The sequence below is a fragment of the Homo sapiens genome, chromosome 2, assembly GCF_000001405.40.
Source record: "Homo sapiens chromosome 2, GRCh38.p14 Primary Assembly".
Classification (NCBI taxonomy): Eukaryota; Metazoa; Chordata; class Mammalia; order Primates; family Hominidae; genus Homo; species Homo sapiens.
In genome coordinates this window covers 18,543,110-18,561,767 of record NC_000002.12, presented here as the reverse complement: position 1 = coordinate 18,561,767, position 18,658 = coordinate 18,543,110, and the positions used below count along the sequence as shown (strand labels likewise).

Below are 18,658 nucleotides of genomic sequence, written 5' to 3'. Positions count from 1 at the left end.
AAGTGGGAGATCACAGTTCCAGAAAGTAAGCACCCTGAGAGCAGAAATGGTGTCCCATTTCTCTGTGGCTCTAACAGGGAACAGGCAGGGCCAGGCACATATTGGATGGAGAGGCAGACGAACGAATGAGTCTTTAAAAGTAGCTTGGTCTACAGCTATGAAGTTTGTAGCTTGAAGAAGGGTCCCTGTGACACTAACCCTGATATTAATGAGGCATTTTACAGTGAGCCAAGCACTTTGCCTTCCATCGTTGTGTGTAATAGTCCTATGGAGAGGGCAGGGAGGCATTTGTAAATGGCCTGCTCAGAAGCCTATATTTACAATAAGTCCAAGCTTTTCCCACTGTACCTCTGCCAGTGTGAAGATCATTTGAAGATGGCTTTCTTTTTTTTAATAGGGACCAATGACATAATGTCTTGTTCAGTGGTTCTCAAAGTGTGGTTCCCAGATCTGCAGCAGCAGCAGCACCTGGAAACTTGTTAAAAGTGCAAATTATCAGGCCCCATCCTGTACCTATTGAATTAGAAACTCTAATACTGGGGCCCTGGTTTTTTGTTTTCGTTTTGTTTCATTCCCCCACCCCGAACCCCCACCCCAAGTCCTCCAGGTGATTCTGATGTGCATTTAAGTTTGAGAACTACTCGACCATTCTATTTCCAACTGATTCATGTTGCTTAATTCTTTGTCTCATCTATGAAAAACAGTCCTACCTCAGACTTCAGCTTGTCAGGGCCCATTCCTCAGAAGGTGAATTGAACTGAATTTACAAGTCCCAAGAGCCCTCAAAGGAAAACACACGAAATGCCCTGAGGAGTGGCATTTGTAACAGGGCCTGTACAGAGATCTGTGATTCAAAGTACTCATCAGACATTCCCATGGGGAAGTCCGCCACTACTCTGGGATTTCAATACGTATGAACCCCAGCACCCTGAACACTGTGCTGGTTGCCCAGCCTCCATCATTAGGCTGGGAGGAGCTTCCACGGAGGGCGCAGGACCCAGGGCGCTGAACTCTCACAACCAATCAGGCGACCCCCCCAGAGGGAAACTACAAGTCCCAGCATGCCCCACGCGCACCGTCAGGGGCCGACCCGCCGCGCCCCAGCGTTCTCCGCGTACAGGTGGTCTCTTGGGTTCCGGTAAGGCGGCGGCTGCGGAACTCCCGTGGAGGGGCCGGTGGGCCCTCGGGCCTGACGATGGCAGTGGCCACTGCGGCGGCAGTACTGGCCGCTCTGGGCGGGGCGCTGTGGCTGGCGGCCCGCCGGTTCGTGGGGCCCAGGGTCCAGCGGCTGCGCAGAGGCGGGGACCCCGGCCTCATGCACGGGAAGACTGTGCTGATCACCGGGGCGAACAGCGGCCTGGGCCGCGCCACGGCCGCCGAGCTACTGCGCCTGGGAGCGCGGGTGATCATGGGCTGCCGGGACCGCGCGCGCGCCGAGGAGGCGGCGGGTCAGCTCCGCCGCGAGCTCCGCCAGGCCGCGGAGTGCGGCCCAGAGCCTGGCGTCAGCGGGGTGGGCGAGCTCATAGTCCGGGAGCTGGACCTCGCCTCGCTGCGCTCGGTGCGCGCCTTCTGCCAGGAAATGCTCCAGGTGTGGGCCTCGGGGGGCCGGGCTGGTGGGGAGGGCCTGGGCACGGTGTGGGAGGGGACTGCGGGCTGGGGCTGAGCCGCGAGGGACCGCCCTGGGGTTCAGGGTGTCACCTTGGGAACCGCTGAGGCTGAGAGGAGTCCAAAAAGCCACTTTGAGGCGGCCGGGAAGCTGCAGGGTTGAGAGGGAAAGAGAAACTAACTGGGAGGGCTGCCTTCTGTCCTCTAAGGATGTCGAAAAAGAAATGGGCCCAAGAGAAAAATAAATAAACCAGTTTCTGAACGTTTCATTTCGTTACGTGAGGACCGCCCCGAAGTAGATCCATGGCCTCTGAATTGTTTTTCCTGTGTCAGAAGTGAATTTGCACCAAGCTGTGTCTTCAGAACCCCTGAGCACTGGGGGAAGTTGCTAGCTAAGGACCTCATATCAGTCCTTTAAAAAAAGTTCTCCTTCCCCCGGCCTCTGCCCCTTTTCTGCTGGGGTAAGGAGCTCGCTGCCACCAGTAAACTCAGCACCATCCTTAACGGGACTGTGGCCTGATTTCCAAGTAGAATACATTTTGGAACCCAGTGGTCATGCTCCATACAGAGACAGGAATAAAAATAACACCCAGCATTATTGAAGATCTGTATGCCAGGAGCTGTGCCAAGCATTTCAGATTTTCCTTTTTGTCTTAAATGAAAATGAAGTGTCCTTGCCTATAACTGTCATTGAAGCTACACAGTAACCCTGTGGAGTAGGCATTATTATCATCCCTGTTTTACAACGCGAGGAAACTGAGGCATAGGAAGGCTAAGAAACTTGCTTGTGGTCTGTCTCCAGAACACTTGCTTTTAACCCTTGTTCTTTCCTCCTGCTGCCTGGCAGTGAGGTGTGAGGATTTCTTTGTGCAAATGGTAAGTAATTCCACATAAGTGGATGTTCTCCGTTGAGATTGAGGTAGAAGAGTTTCTTGCAGGGATAACTGGCATTCAGAGGGCATTTGTTCAGAAGAGTGAAATTTAAAATTAGCTGGGACAAGAAAGGTGCCTATATGACGTAGAGTCTCTTGAGTCTAGAGAAGAGGTTCCCAAATTTTCTCAGTAATTTTTTCATGATGCCCTTAGGCCAGAAATATTTCCCAGTTCATTTATTTAGAAAGTTTATTTTGCCAAGGTTAAGGATGCACCCGTGGCAGAACCTCAGGCGGTCCTGAGGACATGTGCCCAAGGTGGTCGGGGCACAGCTTGGTTTTATACATTTTAGGGAGACATGAGACATCAATCACATATGTAAGGTATACATTGGTTCTCCTGGAAAAGTGGGACAACTCGAAGTGGGGGCTTCCAGGTCATAGGTAGATGGGAGACAAAAGGTTGCATTCTTTTGGGTCTTTGATTAGCCTTTTACTGAATACAATTTACATGTGCAGGAGGGATAGAGGAATAATCACTTATGTCTTAGACTGGCTCAGTGAGTCTGCATTTTCACATAAACAATACGGCAGAGTCAGCAATCAGATAAGCATTTATCTCAGGTGAGCAGAAGGATGACTTTAGAGTTCTGTCTTTTGTTTGGCACTTGTGAAGATGAGCTATCAATTTATGAATACATTGCCAGGGTGAAATTCAACAGAAGTGTTTTAGGGTAAAGATCTTGAGGCCCATGTGGGCAAATTATGAGGGTGATATGTAGCTTCTTTTTCTTTGTAGCTATCTTATTTAGGAATAAAATGGGAGGCAGGTTTGTCTGAGGCAGTTCCCAGCTTGACTTTAACCTTTGACTTAGTGATTTTGGGTTCTGAGATTTATTTTCCTTTGACACAACCTAATAAGTAGTTATGTCCTAACAACTTAGTAGCTATTTGAGAAGATAACATAATTGAAAGAAAAAAATAATATGTTTATTTTGTTCTTAAACAGCCATAACTACTAATGGGAAATGTATCTCTGTTGGTCATTACACCAGTGTCTGAAACCTTGGAATCAGATTGGACACTTCCACCCTCATTTCCTGTTCTAGGTAGATTTTTAGCATTGTTCTTGTTTTTTATTACAGCAACTGCTAACAGCTGCTTAAAAGTCAGCTCCACAAAGAAATAATGTCATTGAAAGGAATATAGCACAATGTAATGTTCAAGCTGTGAACCACCTGGAGCTAGTAGTTTTGAGGTATTGAGCAAATATCACTGTGTTTCCCTCGAAAATTTAAAATATTCCACAACACCCTGAGAGTTTGCTGCAATGCTGTAGGCCACAGTTCGGGAGCTGTTGCAGAACTAGAGAGTTGGTTTTTTGTTTATTGCTAGTATTTAATTATGTGTAACACAGGTTAAGAAATAATACTCATCAGTGAGATTTTGGAAGCATTAAAGATGGATCTTTCTGTTCCTCTTTAAAATATAGATGGGGCTGGGTTTGCTTCTTTGGCACTTGAGGCAGAACTAATTAAAAAGTGAGGACACAAAGAGATAATTAAGTTGTCCTTGCTTCTAAGTAAGTATTTCTGTTCCTGCCTGGCTCTGAAGTTAAGTGACTATAATTAGAAGGAAAAAAAAATGGAAATGTAGATTTCCCACAGGTTGGTATTCTTGGTATTTATTTCATTTATCTCGTAGAATTTAAAAAAATAGTAAATGACAAAATTTTAAAATAACACAAGCCCAGCAAAGAATGCTGGATAACAAATGATTAATTCAGGAAAATCTTCCAAAGGATTTGTGAAAAAGAATACTCCTTTCTTTCCCCCATGAGTGAACTCTTGCCTTCTTTTTGAAGTTGACTATTGGAAAACCCAAAGATGCTTAGACAGGGCAGAATGAGAAATAGTTAATCCTCTGACAGGTGGGCTTCGATAACAGTTGTGAAATGTAACACATTTTTCTTTTCACTTATAGTTGGCAGAAGGGCCAGTGAAATTTGAAAGTTGACCTCATATTAATCATGGGTCATCACAGTGTCTTTACACTTGGAACATGTGCATTTCTTTGTCCATCAAAAGAAACAGAACAACCGAGAAAAGGCTAGAGAAGACCATCTTACATGATTTAAGGAATAAAAAGACTTCCCTATGAGAACAGTCTAAATTTTAGGACTTTAATTTGGAAAGATACAGAAGCATAAGTTCAGAGTATAAAATGTTGACTGTACAGATCTCCTAGAGTCCCCTTTACGCTGGATATTTTTATATTACCTGATTATTTTTTTCTTAATCTTTGATTATTCTTTATGAATCTCGATTTATTCATGATGTTCTCTCCAGTGTTAAGTTTGCATTTCTGACCTTTTCTATTGCTTGTTTCACTTTTAAGGAAATGACTTGAAGTTGTTCCACCCCCATGGTGCCATTTACCCTGAGAGAACTACAGAATAAAGCAACCATAAGTTTGCCCTTGGTGTTGATAACCAGTAGCTCTGGGAATAAACTATGCTTACCTGTTTTCTACAGCATATGGTCTGTCTAGCTTTCATTGCCTCTCTAGCTGTTTTGAAAATCCCAATTAGAAAGCCATGCCAGCTTACTAATTAAGAAAATAGGCCTTGGTGTCAAAGACTTCATCTTCAGATCTGATCTTATTTTGCTACTTAGGAGTTCTGATACTGGGCAAGTCACCTAGCCTGTGAGCTTCATTTGCTTATACAGTTGTTGGAATTAGATGTGGTGACATGCGAAAAGCACAAAGCCTGGCTCCTATCAAGCTTCTGCATCTATTTTTTTTTCTATTTTTCTCTCAATTATTGGAAGCTCATAGAAGCATTTTGGGATAGAATTTTAGTAGTTTGCAAGTATTTTTAAACATTTTATCATAGGTACACTTATAATTTTGATATGATCTCAGTATTAACCTGATAACTCCCAAATTGATATTTTCCTAGTTCAACTGAAATTAAAGGGAGAAATATGGGATTGTAGGAGTGCCTTGTCCTCAAATTGACTGTATTTCTGTTTTGAGAAAGATCTTGGTACTGATCACGTAGTCAACTTTCTAATGCAATGTTAAAGTTTATATATTTGTAAATGTTATTGTTATAAAAGCATAAAACCAGAAATTAAGTCTTAGATTTAGTTTCTACATCTTTTATTGGAAGATGACTGTAGATAAATATCTTTCTGTATATCATTTTAATAAATGAGAAAAAAGAGCTGTTGAATGAAAGATCATGAACATCAGTATTTATCTGAGGAACATCCTGCGGAGGAATCCCTTTCCCCATTTATTAAACACAAAATTGCCAGTGTTTCAAGTAGTTCTCTGATCGATAGACCAACAACTGAAATTAAATGCTTTTAGTCTCAAGTGCCCATTTTTATTAAAATGTAATTATCATGAACAGAAAAAGCAATACAAGGCGTGTGTTCTTAATAATTCTGCCATTCTCTTTTTGACATTTAAAGGAAGAGCCTAGGCTGGATGTCTTGATCAATAACGCAGGGATCTTCCAGTGCCCTTACATGAAGACTGAAGATGGGTTTGAGATGCAGTTCGGAGTGAACCATCTGGGGCACTTTCTACTCACCAATCTTCTCCTTGGACTCCTCAAAAGTTCAGCTCCCAGCAGGATTGTGGTAGTTTCTTCCAAACTTTATAAATACGGAGACATCAATTTTGATGACTTGAACAGTGAACAAAGCTATAATAAAAGCTTTTGTTATAGCCGGAGCAAACTGGCTAACATTCTTTTTACCAGGGAACTAGCCCGCCGCTTAGAAGGCACAAATGTCACCGTCAATGTGTTGCATCCTGGTATTGTACGGACAAATCTGGGGAGGCACATACACATTCCACTGTTGGTCAAACCACTCTTCAATTTGGTGTCATGGGCTTTTTTCAAAACTCCAGTAGAAGGTGCCCAGACTTCCATTTATTTGGCCTCTTCACCTGAGGTAGAAGGAGTGTCAGGAAGATACTTTGGGGATTGTAAAGAGGAAGAACTGTTGCCCAAAGCTATGGATGAATCTGTTGCAAGAAAACTCTGGGATATCAGTGAAGTGATGGTTGGCCTGCTAAAATAGGAACAAGGAGTAAAAGAGCTGTTTATAAAACTGCATATCAGTTATATCTGTGATCAGGAATGGTGTGGATTGAGAACTTGTTACTTGAAGAAAAAGAATTTTGATATTGGAATAGCCTGCTAAGAGGTACATGTGGGTATTTTGGAGTTACTGAAAAATTATTTTTGGGATAAGAGAATTTCAGCAAAGATGTTTTAAATATATATAGTAAGTATAATGAATAATAAGTACAATGAAAAATACAATTATATTGTAAAATTATAACTGGGCAAGCATGGATGACATATTAATATTTGTCAGAATTAAGTGACTCAAAGTGCTATCGAGAGGTTTTTCAAGTATCTTTGAGTTTCATGGCCAAAGTGTTAACTAGTTTTACTACAATGTTTGGTGTTTGTGTGGAAATTATCTGCCTGGTGTGTGCACACAAGTCTTACTTGGAATAAATTTACTGGTACAAATTCTTAACTGTGCATTTCTTTGGAGGCTTCACTGAATACAGTCCTTTATCATGTCACCATTAGCCTATGCTGATCTTGGTCTGCCCAGTCTCTTCTTGCCACGTATCTTGTACACTGCTCTGAGAGATAATATTCCTAAAACCCAAATCTATCACATTCCTGCTTAAAAAACAGTGGGTTTTGAGCCTTAAAAAAAAAAAAATTTGGCAGAATTCTTTCTTCAAAAGCGGTGTTTCACTGAAACGTAGAAGCTGGAGGGGGTAAAGCAGGTTATCGCAATGCTGCCAAGGTGGAGTCCCCCACGGCAATTCCTAAAGGGATTTCATAGAATATAGTGGTTTATAAACCACTTTTATTTAGACTAAAGATTAAACTGTTGAAGATAGAGTTGAGGCTCCATGAGACAGCACCATGCTTACCCTATACTCTCATACTCAGCACTGTTCAGTAGAACTTTGCAGTGAGGAAAGGAATACTCTGTGTTGTCTGATGTGATGGACTCTAGAAACATGGGATTATTAAGTACTTCAAATTCAACTGAGAACTGAATTTCTAATTATATGTAATGTTAATTTAAATAGGCACATGTCTAGCAACTGGTATCTTGGACAGTACATCTCTGGTCATCCCATCAGATAATCCAGTCCTGATTTTAGAACAGTCACCTACTCACTTGCTTTGGGCCTTTCTTTATATTGTTCTTTCAGTCTGGAATGCCATCTCCTTTTTCCTTGGAAATACGACTTACCCTTCAGGTTCCTTTCAAATGTGTTCCTTTCTCCAGCCCCCGTAGGCAGAGACAATTCTCTCTTCCTACTTTTTTTTTCCCCCTTGATCTTGGTACTTTTACTAGGAGTTTAGTGCACTAATTATTCATTCACAGGTTCAGTCAGATAATCAGAATAGAAATTCTCTAAGGAAAGGAGATTTATTTTATTATTAGCTTTCCTCCATCAAGAATCAAGTATAGTGCCCAGCACACAGTAAAAAATCAGTAAATAATGGTATGCATAAGAATAATTGAGCCCAAATAGGAATATTGCAGGCATCTGTGTTACAACATCAAAAGTATCTACTTAATTTTAATTATTTGTTTCACTATCTCATATCGGAAAAAGGAATTATAACACTAAAGTATAGACAGTTACACTGAATTTAATGACTATTTAGCCCAGGGATAATTCTTGGTTATTATTTTTAAGACCATTTATAATATCAGCTTATGAGTATCGGTTATTTTCAAGAATGGCAGGATCTTGGCATATCATGCAGAAGGTCTGTTTTCTGTTAGAGCATTGCCTTGTGAATTGGAGAAACAGTGTATCATCACAGGTGTGTCTCTGCAGGTGTAGTGGATATAGCTGCATCATATTCTTTGAAACATTGTATTTTTAAAAAGTAATCCTACAAAGAGACCTGCTGAACTTAGAAATATAGGCAGGAAATACACCAGAATGCAACTTGGAAAAATGGAAGCTAATAAATCTGTCCTACACCTCGACTTCATTAAAAGGGAGCCCCTTTTTTTCATTTAATACCATCTTTTCTGGCTGCATTTTGATACTTGATGCTTTTCAGGGGATTTGGACCTTTTGTAAGAGTTGAGCCTTTCAGAGTTCTTTTGTTTGTGGCACCATAATAAAATAGGATATATTAACTTATCATGATAGAAAGCTAGAAACTTACCTGGAAACACCAACTATTAAGGTAAAATGAGCTGCCATTTGGAAGATGTCCTTCGCACCACTGTGTTTGATGGAATTGAGGACTAAGAGCTCCAAAATGATGAGGTAGATTTTGAAGAAGTCCTTAACTTCCCCTCCTTCTTTCTCCCTTTTGCTGACTCACTTTAATCCATTTTACTGGGCAAAGAAATAAGTAAAAGGCAGTCCTGTTATTTTGGTATTGTTCTCACCCTCAGCAGTATATCAGAGGGGAAACTGTAATGTGCCAGATCATGGAAGAAATGAGTTGAAAGCCCATTTTCCATGCTGGTTCTCAGCTTCATTTTTTTTGAAAAATTGACTCGTGTTTCAAGCAGCTTATTCTGAGAAGGGTTGAGGTTGCTGGCCTTCTGTTTCAACTTTGCTCAGAGTAACTATTTTATATAGTGGGGTTCTAAGTAGGATTTAATTGGACAAGGGGCTTCACAGCTTAAACACACCACCACATTGGGTTTGACTAACAGCTCTACTGTGTAATGCTTCCTGTAACCTTGGCAAGTTACTTAACCTTTCCGAGCTATTATTTTTTTTGGCTCTATATTGAAATATAAGTGTCTACTTTAAAGGATTACTCAGTGAATGAAAGAGACAGACTAGGTAAAATGTTTAGCAAAGTGTCTGGCACATACAGGCACACATCCATTTCTCCTTCCACAATGCACATAATCATTACTATCCATTAGCAGTAATAGTAATTAGCGATGCTAATGGTTAGGCAAGTACATATCATGGAAACAAAACTCTAAACCAAGGGGCAGCAAACTTCATCTAAAAGGCCAGATTTCTTTTTATAATCTTTCAAAAATGTAAAGACCATTTGTAGCCAGTACATACCATACTATTGTACTTAAATGACTGGTACAGTCTTCCAGGCCCAATGTACTCACTTACTTGTTTACCTTTAAGACACCTTGTTTGAGAGTAGTTGTCGTATATGCTGTGACTCCTATTACTCTATAAGGCTGCTGTTGTTTTTCCATATTATTTCTAATGTTGTGGACAACTATTTGCTTGCAGACCAGGAAGCCTAAAGGGTATATTTTAAAAGTCTGTCTCCAGCTATAGATTCTGGTGTGAGGAAGAGCAGTTATCTGCCTTCAACTCCCTCCCCCTGACAAACTTGCTGGGCCTGGCCAGAGATCTGAGGGACTCTGTATTTGAATATTTAATTGATTCCAAATGTCCTATGGAACACTGAAGAGAGAACATGTTACTAATCACCCTTCAGGAGCTTGGCCCCCACAGACAGGTTCAGATGTTCCACAAGCCTTCTCTGGGCGATGGGGAGTTAAATTAGTTACAGGCTAACATGGAGAAAGGTAGTTTATTCCTAGAGGAAACTAAGACGGAATGCTTAGTTTTATGCAGACAGTAAGGAAAAGCTTTTGCTAAGCCAGATGTGTAATCAAAGTGCAGTGGAAGCACTTTTAAGCAACTACCATCTAAGAGATTTGCTGTAATAACTGATTCTCCATTCTTTTTTTCTAAAAAAAAAAAAAAAAACTAATGCACATAGCATGTGAAACTCTAGGCTGATAGGCTTTCTTCTAGCACACAACAGCCCTTCTGCTTCCTCTTGTTCTATTATATACTTAAGAGTGAGTTGTGTACCATTTGTTATTCACTTAGCAAATATTTATTGAGTACCTATTATGTAACCGGGCATTATTCTAGTTCTGGGCATGCAGGAGGCAACAAAGAAAACCCAACCCAATTTGTGCATGCATATGTCAACTGTGCTGGTTAATAATCACATTACAAATTATTAATCATACTGCAAGTCAATGAAATGTGAGTACAAAGAATTTATATGAAAAGTAGAAAAGTAGTTTTGTAAAAACTAAATGAAAGCAAGTCACTAAAAATTTACTGTTGACTAAAGTTTCAAAGCAACTATCAAATACTAAAAATAAATACAAAATTATAAAAGGAGTCTGTAGTTAGTGCTTTGCAAGTAACTTTAAACTTTGAGTCCATTTTAAGGGCAAAAAAGCTAGAAATCCGACTCTACTATTTAAGTGAATACAGGAATACCACAGAGATACTTCTGATTTTGTTCCAGATCACCACAATAAAGCAAATATTAAAGTGAGTTACACAAACTTTTTTGTTTCTCCATGCGTGTAAAAGTTATGTTTATACTATACTGTTGTCTATTAGGTGTATAAGACCATTATGTCTAAAAAACAATGTACATACCTTAATTTAAAAATACGTTTTTTGCTCAAAAACCTCTAACAATTATCTGAGCCATCAGTGAGTCATTATATTTTTTCTGGTGGAGGGTCTCACCTCGATGGCTGCTGACTTCAGGGTGGTGGTTGCTGAAGGCTGGGTTGGCTGGAGCAATGTCTGAAAATACAACAACAATGCAGGTTGCCAAATTGATAAGACTGTTCCTTCCATGAAATATTTATCTGTAGCATGTGGTGGTATTTACCCACAGTAGAACTTCCTTCAAAATTGAAGTCAATCCTATCAAACCCTATTGCTGCCTTCTCAACTAAGTTTATGTAATATTCCAAATCCTTTGCTTTCATTTCAGAAATGTTCACAACCTCTTCACCAGGAGTAGAGTCCATCTCCAGAAACCCACTTTCTTTGTTCATCCCTAAGAAACAATTCCTTATGTCTTTAAGTTTTATCATGAGATTGCAGCAGTTCACTCACATCTTTAGGCTCCACTTCCAATTATCTTGTGATTTTTACCTCATCTGTGTTTACTTCCTCCAAAGAAGGTTTGAACCCTCAAAGTCATCCATGAGGGTTGGACTCAGATTTTTTCAAATTTCTGTTAATGTTGATATTTTGACCTTCTCCTTTGAATTATGAATGTTCTTAATGGCATCTAGAATGGTTAATACTTTCGCAGAAGATTGTCAATTTATTTTGCCCAGATCCATCGGAGGAATAACTGTGGCAGCTTTAGCCCTAGGAAATGTTATTTCTTAAATAATAAGACTTTAAAGTCAAAATTACTCCTTAATCCATGGGCTGCAGACTAGATGTATCAGCAGACATGAAAACATTAATCGTTTTATACATCTCCATCAGAGTTCTTGGGTGACTATGTGCATTGTCAATGAGCAGTAATATTTTGAAAGGCATCTTTTCTAAGCAATAGGTCTTAACAGTGGACTTAAAATTTCAGTAAACCATGCTGTAAACAGATGTGCTGTCATCCAGACCTTGTTGTTCCCCTTATAGCACATAGGCAGAGTAGATTAAACATAATTCTTACAGGCCCTAGAATTTTTAGTATGGTAAATGTGCATTGACTTCAACTTAAAGTCACCAGCTGCATTAGCCCCAAACAAGAGAGTCAGACTGTCCTTTGAAGCTTTGTTTCCATGCATTGACTTCTCTCTAGCTATAAAAGCCTCAGATCGCATCTTCTTCCAATGGAAAGCTATTTTGTCTGCATTAAAAATCCGTTGCTTAGTGTATTAGTCCATTTTCATGCTGCTGATAAAGACGTACCCAAGGCTGGGCAATTTATAAAGAAAAAGAAGTTTAATGGACTCACAGTTCCACGTGGCTGGGGAGGCCTAACAATCATAGCAGAAGGTGAAAGGCATATCTTACATGGCTGCAGGGAAGAGAGAAAATGAGAGACAAGCAAAAGAGGTTTCCCCTTATAAACCCACCAGATCTCTTGAGACTTATTCACTACCATGAGAACAGCACAGGAAAGACCCATCCACATGATTCAATTACCTCCCACGGGTCCCTCCCACAACACATGGGAATTGTGGAAGCTACAATTCAAGATGAGATTTGAGTGGGGCACAGTCAAACCATATCACTTAGTGTGGCCACCTTCATCAATGTTCTTAGCTAGCTCTTCTGGATAACTTGCTGTAGCTTCTGCATTAGCACTTGCTGCTTCACCTTGCACTTTAATGTTGCAGAGATGGCTTCTTTCCCTAAACCTCATGAACCAACCTCTGCTAGCTTCAAACTTTTCTTCTGCAGCTTTCTCACCTCTCTCAACCCAGATAGAGTTGAGTTAGGGCCTTGCTCTGAATTAGGTTTTGGCTTTAGGGAATGTTGTGGCTGGTTTGATCTTAGAAGATCACTTTAGACAGCCCACTAAAACTTTCTCCATATCAGCAATATGAGGCTGTTTCACTTGCTTATCATTCATGTGTTTCCTGGAATTGCATGTTTAATTTCTTTCAAGAACTTTTCTTTGTGTTCATAACTTGGCCAACTGTTTGGCAGGAGAGGCCTCGCTTTTGGCCTTTCTTGGCTTTCAACATGCCTTCCTCACTAAGCTTAATAGTTCCTAGTTTTTGATTTAAATTGAGAGATGTGAGACTCTTTCTTTCACTTGAATGCTTAGTAGCCATTGTAGGATTATTAATTGACTTAATTTCAATATTGTTGTGTCTCAGGCAATGGGGAGGCCCAAGGAGAGGGAAAGAGATGTGGGAATGACCGGAGCAGTCAGAACACACACAACATTTATCAATTACATTTGCCATCTTATATGGGTGGGGCTTCTAGTGCCCCAGAACAATTACTAGGATAACATCAAAGATTACTGATTACAAATCACTATTACAGATAAAATAATAAAGTTTGAAATACATTTTTTTTTTGAGACGGAGTCTTGCTCTGTCGCCCAGGCTGGAGTGCAGTGGCACTATCTCAGCTCACTGCAAGCTCTGCCTCCTGGGCTCACGCCATTCTCCTGCCTCAGCCTCACGAGTAGCTGGAACTACAGGCGCCCACCACGACGCCTGGCTAATTTTTTATATTTTTAGTAGAGACGGGGTTTCACCGTGTTAGCCAGGATGGTCTTGATCTCCTGACCTCATGATCCACCCACCTCAGCCTCCCAAAGTGCTGGGATTACAGGCGTGAGCCACTGCACCCAGCCATAAAGTTTGAAATATTGCTAAGCATTACCAAAATATGACAGAGACATGAAGTGTGCACAAACCATTGAAAAAATGTCACCAATGGATTTGCTCCATGCAGGGATGCTAGAAACCTTCAGTTTGTTAAAAAAAAAAAAAAAATGCAGTACCTGCAAAGCACAGTCAAGTGAAGCATGATAAAACAAGGTATTCTTGAACAATGTAAGAAAATGAAATTCCAAGTGAGTCCATGCTCAAAAAGGAAAACAACGAAGATACCAGTTGAACCCGTAGCCTTATATTAGAAGATAGACAAAGAAATGAACATGTTATATGTTTTAAGTTCAAACATTTTGTGGTACATATAATTCATCTTTTTTATTTTCTGCTTTAATCAACTTTTTAAATGTAACCAACCAATTCAAAATAAGAATGCTTCTATTGTACAGCAGAGGTATCACTTCATATCAGAAGAGTTTTCGTTTGGAGGGATAGAAATAAATGTGTTCTGTGTCGTGAAGCATGTTTTTCCAAGGAGTTCTAATCTAAATTTGGGAATAGTTTTATTTTTTAAAATGCACCAGTATATTGAATTGATAACTTGATATATTTGGTCCTAAAGTGTTTTTGTAGCCAGTTCTTAAAATTTAGTTTCATCATCAGATTTGTTTCTCTCTCTCTCATTTTAAAATCTCCTATTAATTGTGATAAATATGTTTCTGAATGTTTATAATAAAGTTATTTTTCGTATGTCATTTTATATTTGGAAGTTGCCATGTTACATATGAACTATTCCAGGCTGGTTTGTCCTAAGTTGGGGGTTTTAGAGTCTATTAAAAACAAAAAAGTTTCTACCTTCCTTTATAATGTTGAACTTAAGCACTTGTACCTTCCTCTTTTTTCTTTTTGGTATAACCCACAGATGTAGATAGTTCTCCAGCTTTTGACAGAATGAAATTGGTTCTAAATCTTCCTAATAGCCCCCATTTTTGCTACTATGAGAGTAGTAAGGTGAATAAATAGTAGAATTTTAAGTTGTAAACAGATTCAAAACATTTTATCTGTGCAGGCATACATATATGTTGGCATTTTAGTTACATCTTGAAGTTATCCACATGGTTTGAGGAAATGTTGAGCACAGAAAAATATATAATTATTATTAGTTTGTGAAAAAAGCAGAGCGAGTTTCTGCCACCAACCCATGAAAGCACAGGAAATGGCTTTGTGTAGTAGGTGTTTGAGTCTAGGCATTCTGTTGACAGAAGTGGGTTCTACCCAGGGGTTTTGTGTTAATGTAATCAAACACTTCAGAGCTGCAGCCTAACAAGATCAAGTCCACCCACCTCAGAGTTTATCTTTAGCTCATCTGGAAGAGTTTATTTTAAACATTGAACATTGTTTGCTGCTGTTGAAATGAAAGTGAGAGAGTTACAAGCTTTCTTCCACTGCCATCTGGCAGGTTTACTGATGGATCGGGTTCTTTAATCCATGTAACCCTGTGTGTGGGAGCTATTGTCTTTGTGTTGATCATGCAGCTGGCTTGGCTGAACTTTAAAAAGCTTACATAAAGCTATCAAAAGCCATCCTATAGATAAATGAAGTTGAGGATGTTGCAAAAGTCACTGAGGCCTTTTTGGAGAAGGCTTGGATATATATTTTTCATTCTTCACTGAACACATATTTTGCATGTTCTCTTTATGAACTGGAAAAGAGGAAGATAACTGTATTTGGATATTTTGAAAGAAATAACTGAAGCTACCAAAAAAAATGATTATTCTTAATTAAGAAAAGTATTGTAGCATAGTAGAAAGGAAAGAAACAGCAGATTAGGGCGTCCATATTTCATTAAAGTAAATGTGGGATGTAAAAAGTCACATGTGTGTGCTCTTTTCTCGGTGGAGGTTTGTCTGGCTTTTTCTTCAGCCTACATATGGCATAGGGATGTTCAATGATACACTTATTACATACTTAATAATTAGCTATAGCATCCTTAGGTATAGTACTACACAGAATCTCATGTAGTATGCTACTAAGTATAATAATTTACAACCAACTCCAGGGCACAGTTTCAACCGTATTCTCAAATGCATACATACATCTGCATTAAGAGACTGCATGCAAAGAGTAGACTATGTGTAAGATAGGGTATCTTGCAAAAATTTTTATATTACATTTGTAGGAACATAAGACAAATGGAACATGAAATATCTTGGATATGGTCAATTGGTATTCAGTTTTCTTTCCTACCTACATCTAGAGTGCCCTTTTTTATCTTGCATGAGTTGGACAATTTAAAAACAAAAACAAACTACATTGCCTACATCAAGAATGAAAACCAGTTTCCAGCAAACATATACCCATGAAATTAGATGTTGAGGGGACAACTGAGCAGGCCTTTTTACCTATAGTTTTTGGCTATTTTCTGCTGGCAAGAAAGGCCATAGAAACAGAGTCAATTTTGTTTCGTTTTGTTTTCTTTGATAACAAGAGGCAATTGGGGCCGATTCTACAATGATTCCATGTTGACTCACCTCCTGATGGGTGTTGAGAGGAGGTTGCAGTCATGATGGTATCTTGATTCCAGTTCGCTGATGTTTAGATCCTAGTATGACACACATGATGCCATGTGTTTTAACTTTTATTTCCATTGGCAGTCTTTAGGTCTTACAACTTCCTGAAGGTGCAGATTTGGGCAGAAGTAGTACCTTCCCCTCGCAGGTCAGTTCTTGTGTATTCTTGGAGTCATTTCTATTTCTAGAACCTATGTCATTCTTCCAGGCCTTTCCATTATTTTATACATACCTACTTTAATGTTTTCTGTTCCTCCTTAAAATATCTGGGATGGATTCTGTTTCATATAACAAATATAATCTACCAGGATTGCTGACCAGAAAGGAAAAACATAAGTTGGTAATTAAAATCACTTTGCAAATGACCAAGCCATGGCATATATAGAAGGCACAAAGAAATTCGGTATTACTACTTGAAGGGCTGGGGGTGGGTTGGGGGAAGAGAGGCAATCAGTATGACATTTCTTTAATCACAATTGTACAATGTTGAAGCCTTAGCTTAGTAGCCTCAGATATTTGAATTTGTCAAAATATCTGTCAATAATGAGAAACCAACAAAAGAACAGGAAACTTTTCTTTGGGTAGCAAAATGTATCCCAATAAAGAAAATCCATTTGGGAAGCCAACTTATACTCAGAATCTTAATTAGTTCTTCTAGAATCAGAGCACAGGAAGTGACTTCTGAGACTGAATGTTTAGTGGCATTAGCAGTAATATCTGCATTAGGCCCATCCTTAAGCAGGAGATTTATGCTCTGGATGTGTCTCTTTAAGTGGGCCTTGTAATTATGTGTTCTGTTTTGCTGACTTTACTGCATCTGAGTGACATTTTTTTAAAAAAATATGTGTTTATCATTTAAATGTTTCTAGTCTAGCTGAGGAAACATTTTGTCTCTGCTGTATGACAGAGAAGTAGAAGGGGCCAAGTGAACCAGCCACATTCAAAGACACAGGTAAGGTAGAGGAAGATATTATTCTTCCTCTTCCAGTTGGAGACACTGACAGTTGAGAAAAATCTATATCAGGATATAGATATTCCTATATGAGAAATATGAGACTTCATTTCCTAATATGAGATTTCTGGTGAATAGATTAATTCATCACAGCTGTTTTCCATTTAGGAAAAATGTAATTAATACGAGGCTTCCTTCAGCAGCCAATGTGATTAGGACTGTAGAATGACTCGTGATGGATAATCCTGCATAAGTGTTTTGGGTAGTGTGAATGGATTAGAAAGACATTCATGACCGAATCCTTGGTTACCTTAGGAATATTTATTCCTGTGTTTATGCTGCAAAACAAGTCAGAGAAGTAGAGATAGGAAGGGACTCAAAGGTTAGTTGTGAGTGGCCAAGCACTAAACTGTGAGTACACTGAAAGCAGGAATCTGTTTGCACCTTTTCTGCATCCTGCTAACATCTGGAATGGGGCTATATCAATCACTCACAAAATATTAGGTTGACAAATTAATTAGTTAATTAATGACCTGAAAGCTCAGGTGTCTACCACATTACTGATGGTCAGGGTAGATGGGGCTGATTTGGCTGTCCTGGTAGATGGTCTCTCACTATACCCTAGGAAATGAGTTCCATCTTTATTGAAGAAAAGAGAGCTCTTCTGGCTTGTGAAGCCAATGCTGGATTCTTCTTTAACACTCGTATTGAACAGTCAAAACAGTAAGCATGAAAATGCCGTTAAGTAAGTGTGGCATTATTTTTGACAATGATAGTCAATGGTAATTGGGAATTAGTACAAGGAAAACTAGAATGTCTACAAAGAAAGCATACAGACAATCATAATCATCATCATCATCATCCTGCCACAAATTCCCCTGGAAATTTCTGTATAGTTCAGTCAAATTATTGACTCCATCTTCTAGTTCTTTCTGCAGATGCCTGTGTATTTTAGTAAGCAGCCTGTCTTCAGTTGACAGATGTGACTTGCTAAAGCCAACACAATTAATTTTGCCATATTTAGTATTAATTTACTCCAGCTGTTAATTAATTTTCAAATAAGTTTACACGTAGGAAAAAAACTAAAGAAGACTTATTTTCTTTTTAAAATAGTGCCACATTCTTGCAAATCCCTAAGACCATGGCTCATCAGTTAATAGAATAAAATAGGACATGTGATTAAACTCATTAGGGAAAATTCTTTCCAGAATAAAAACTACTATTTATTTGAGATAGTTTACATATATTATCTCTAATTCTTGTAACAACATTGTAAACTATTCTTATTCCTAATTTATAGATAAGGAAACAAGGCTTCAGAAAACTCAAGTGACTCATCTGCAGCCACGATTTGGACCAAAATCTTTAGAGTTTAGAACCTTTGGCTTTTTTACTCAACCAGCAGATCCTTCTTTTAGTGAACTAAAATGATGTACTTAGAAAAAGTTAAAATTTCCTCTGAAATCAAAACAATCTTAGATATTTAACTCTCGTATATGGTTATTATTC

The 18,658-nt window shown here is 39.2% G+C and overlaps 2 protein-coding genes and 1 long non-coding RNA gene across 10 annotated transcripts in view, besides 7 other annotated features; 2 read left to right on the top strand and 1 right to left on the bottom strand.

The window, feature by feature from the left end:
* Window positions 1-1,592, bottom strand: part of LOC105373456 (uncharacterized) — a 529,181-nt gene extending 527,589 nt beyond the window's left edge. For 3 of the 7 annotated variants that reach the window (XR_007086234.1, XR_001739304.3, XR_007086231.1), the window contains exon 1: window positions 1,077-1,592. This is a non-coding gene — a long non-coding RNA (uncharacterized LOC105373456). Of the gene's footprint in view, window positions 1-348 lie in introns of all 7 variants that reach the window. The other 4 variants (XR_427002.4, XR_007086229.1, XR_007086230.1 and 1 more) reach the window with 4 other exon arrangements.
* NT5C1B-RDH14 (NT5C1B-RDH14 readthrough) overlaps window positions 1-7,045 on the top strand; it is a 34,847-nt gene extending 27,802 nt beyond the window's left edge. For both annotated transcript variants that reach the window (NM_001199103.2, NM_001199104.2), the window contains one exon: window positions 5,960-7,045. In NM_001199103.2, coding sequence (NP_001186032.1) covers window positions 5,960-6,577 — 618 coding nt within the window. In that variant the 3' untranslated portion in view covers window positions 6,578-7,045. The remainder of the gene's footprint in view (window positions 1-5,959) is intronic.
* Window positions 706-925: an enhancer, noted in NCBI's record as "active region_15360". NCBI's record gives its function as "activates an Ori minimal core promoter by ATAC-STARR-seq in GM12878 lymphoblastoid cells {active_cell/tissue: GM12878}" and the evidence as "EXISTENCE:reporter gene assay evidence [ECO:0000049][PMID:35858748]".
* Window positions 936-985: an enhancer, noted in NCBI's record as "active region_15359". NCBI's record gives its function as "activates an Ori minimal core promoter by ATAC-STARR-seq in GM12878 lymphoblastoid cells {active_cell/tissue: GM12878}" and the evidence as "EXISTENCE:reporter gene assay evidence [ECO:0000049][PMID:35858748]".
* Window positions 1,046-1,095: an enhancer, noted in NCBI's record as "active region_15358". NCBI's record gives its function as "activates an Ori minimal core promoter by ATAC-STARR-seq in GM12878 lymphoblastoid cells {active_cell/tissue: GM12878}" and the evidence as "EXISTENCE:reporter gene assay evidence [ECO:0000049][PMID:35858748]".
* Window positions 1,115-7,045, top strand: RDH14 (retinol dehydrogenase 14). Its single transcript, NM_020905.4, has 2 exons — window positions 1,115-1,588; window positions 5,960-7,045. Exons 1-2 carry the CDS (start codon window positions 1,196-1,198, stop codon window positions 6,575-6,577), a joined length of 1,011 nt encoding a protein of 336 aa, NP_065956.1. The 5' UTR covers window positions 1,115-1,195; the 3' UTR covers window positions 6,578-7,045.
* Window positions 1,186-1,695: a silencer, noted in NCBI's record as "silent region_11196". NCBI's record gives its function as "represses an Ori minimal core promoter by ATAC-STARR-seq in GM12878 lymphoblastoid cells {active_cell/tissue: GM12878}" and the evidence as "EXISTENCE:reporter gene assay evidence [ECO:0000049][PMID:35858748]".
* Window positions 1,906-1,955: an enhancer, noted in NCBI's record as "active region_15357". NCBI's record gives its function as "activates an Ori minimal core promoter by ATAC-STARR-seq in GM12878 lymphoblastoid cells {active_cell/tissue: GM12878}" and the evidence as "EXISTENCE:reporter gene assay evidence [ECO:0000049][PMID:35858748]".
* Window positions 10,951-11,245: an enhancer, noted in NCBI's record as "tiled region #12735; K562 Activating DNase matched - State 7:EnhWF". NCBI's record gives its function as "activates a minimal TATA promoter and a strong SV40 promoter by Sharpr-MPRA in K562 cells {active_cell/tissue: K562}" and the evidence as "EXISTENCE:reporter gene assay evidence [ECO:0000049][PMID:27701403]".
* Window positions 14,624-15,144: an enhancer, noted in NCBI's record as "NANOG hESC enhancer chr2:18727890-18728410 (GRCh37/hg19 assembly coordinates)". NCBI's record gives its function as "activates a minimal SCP1, AML or CMV promoter by ChIP-STARR-seq in primed H9 embryonic stem cells {active_cell/tissue: H9 hESC(primed)}" and the evidence as "EXISTENCE:reporter gene assay evidence [ECO:0000049][PMID:30033119]".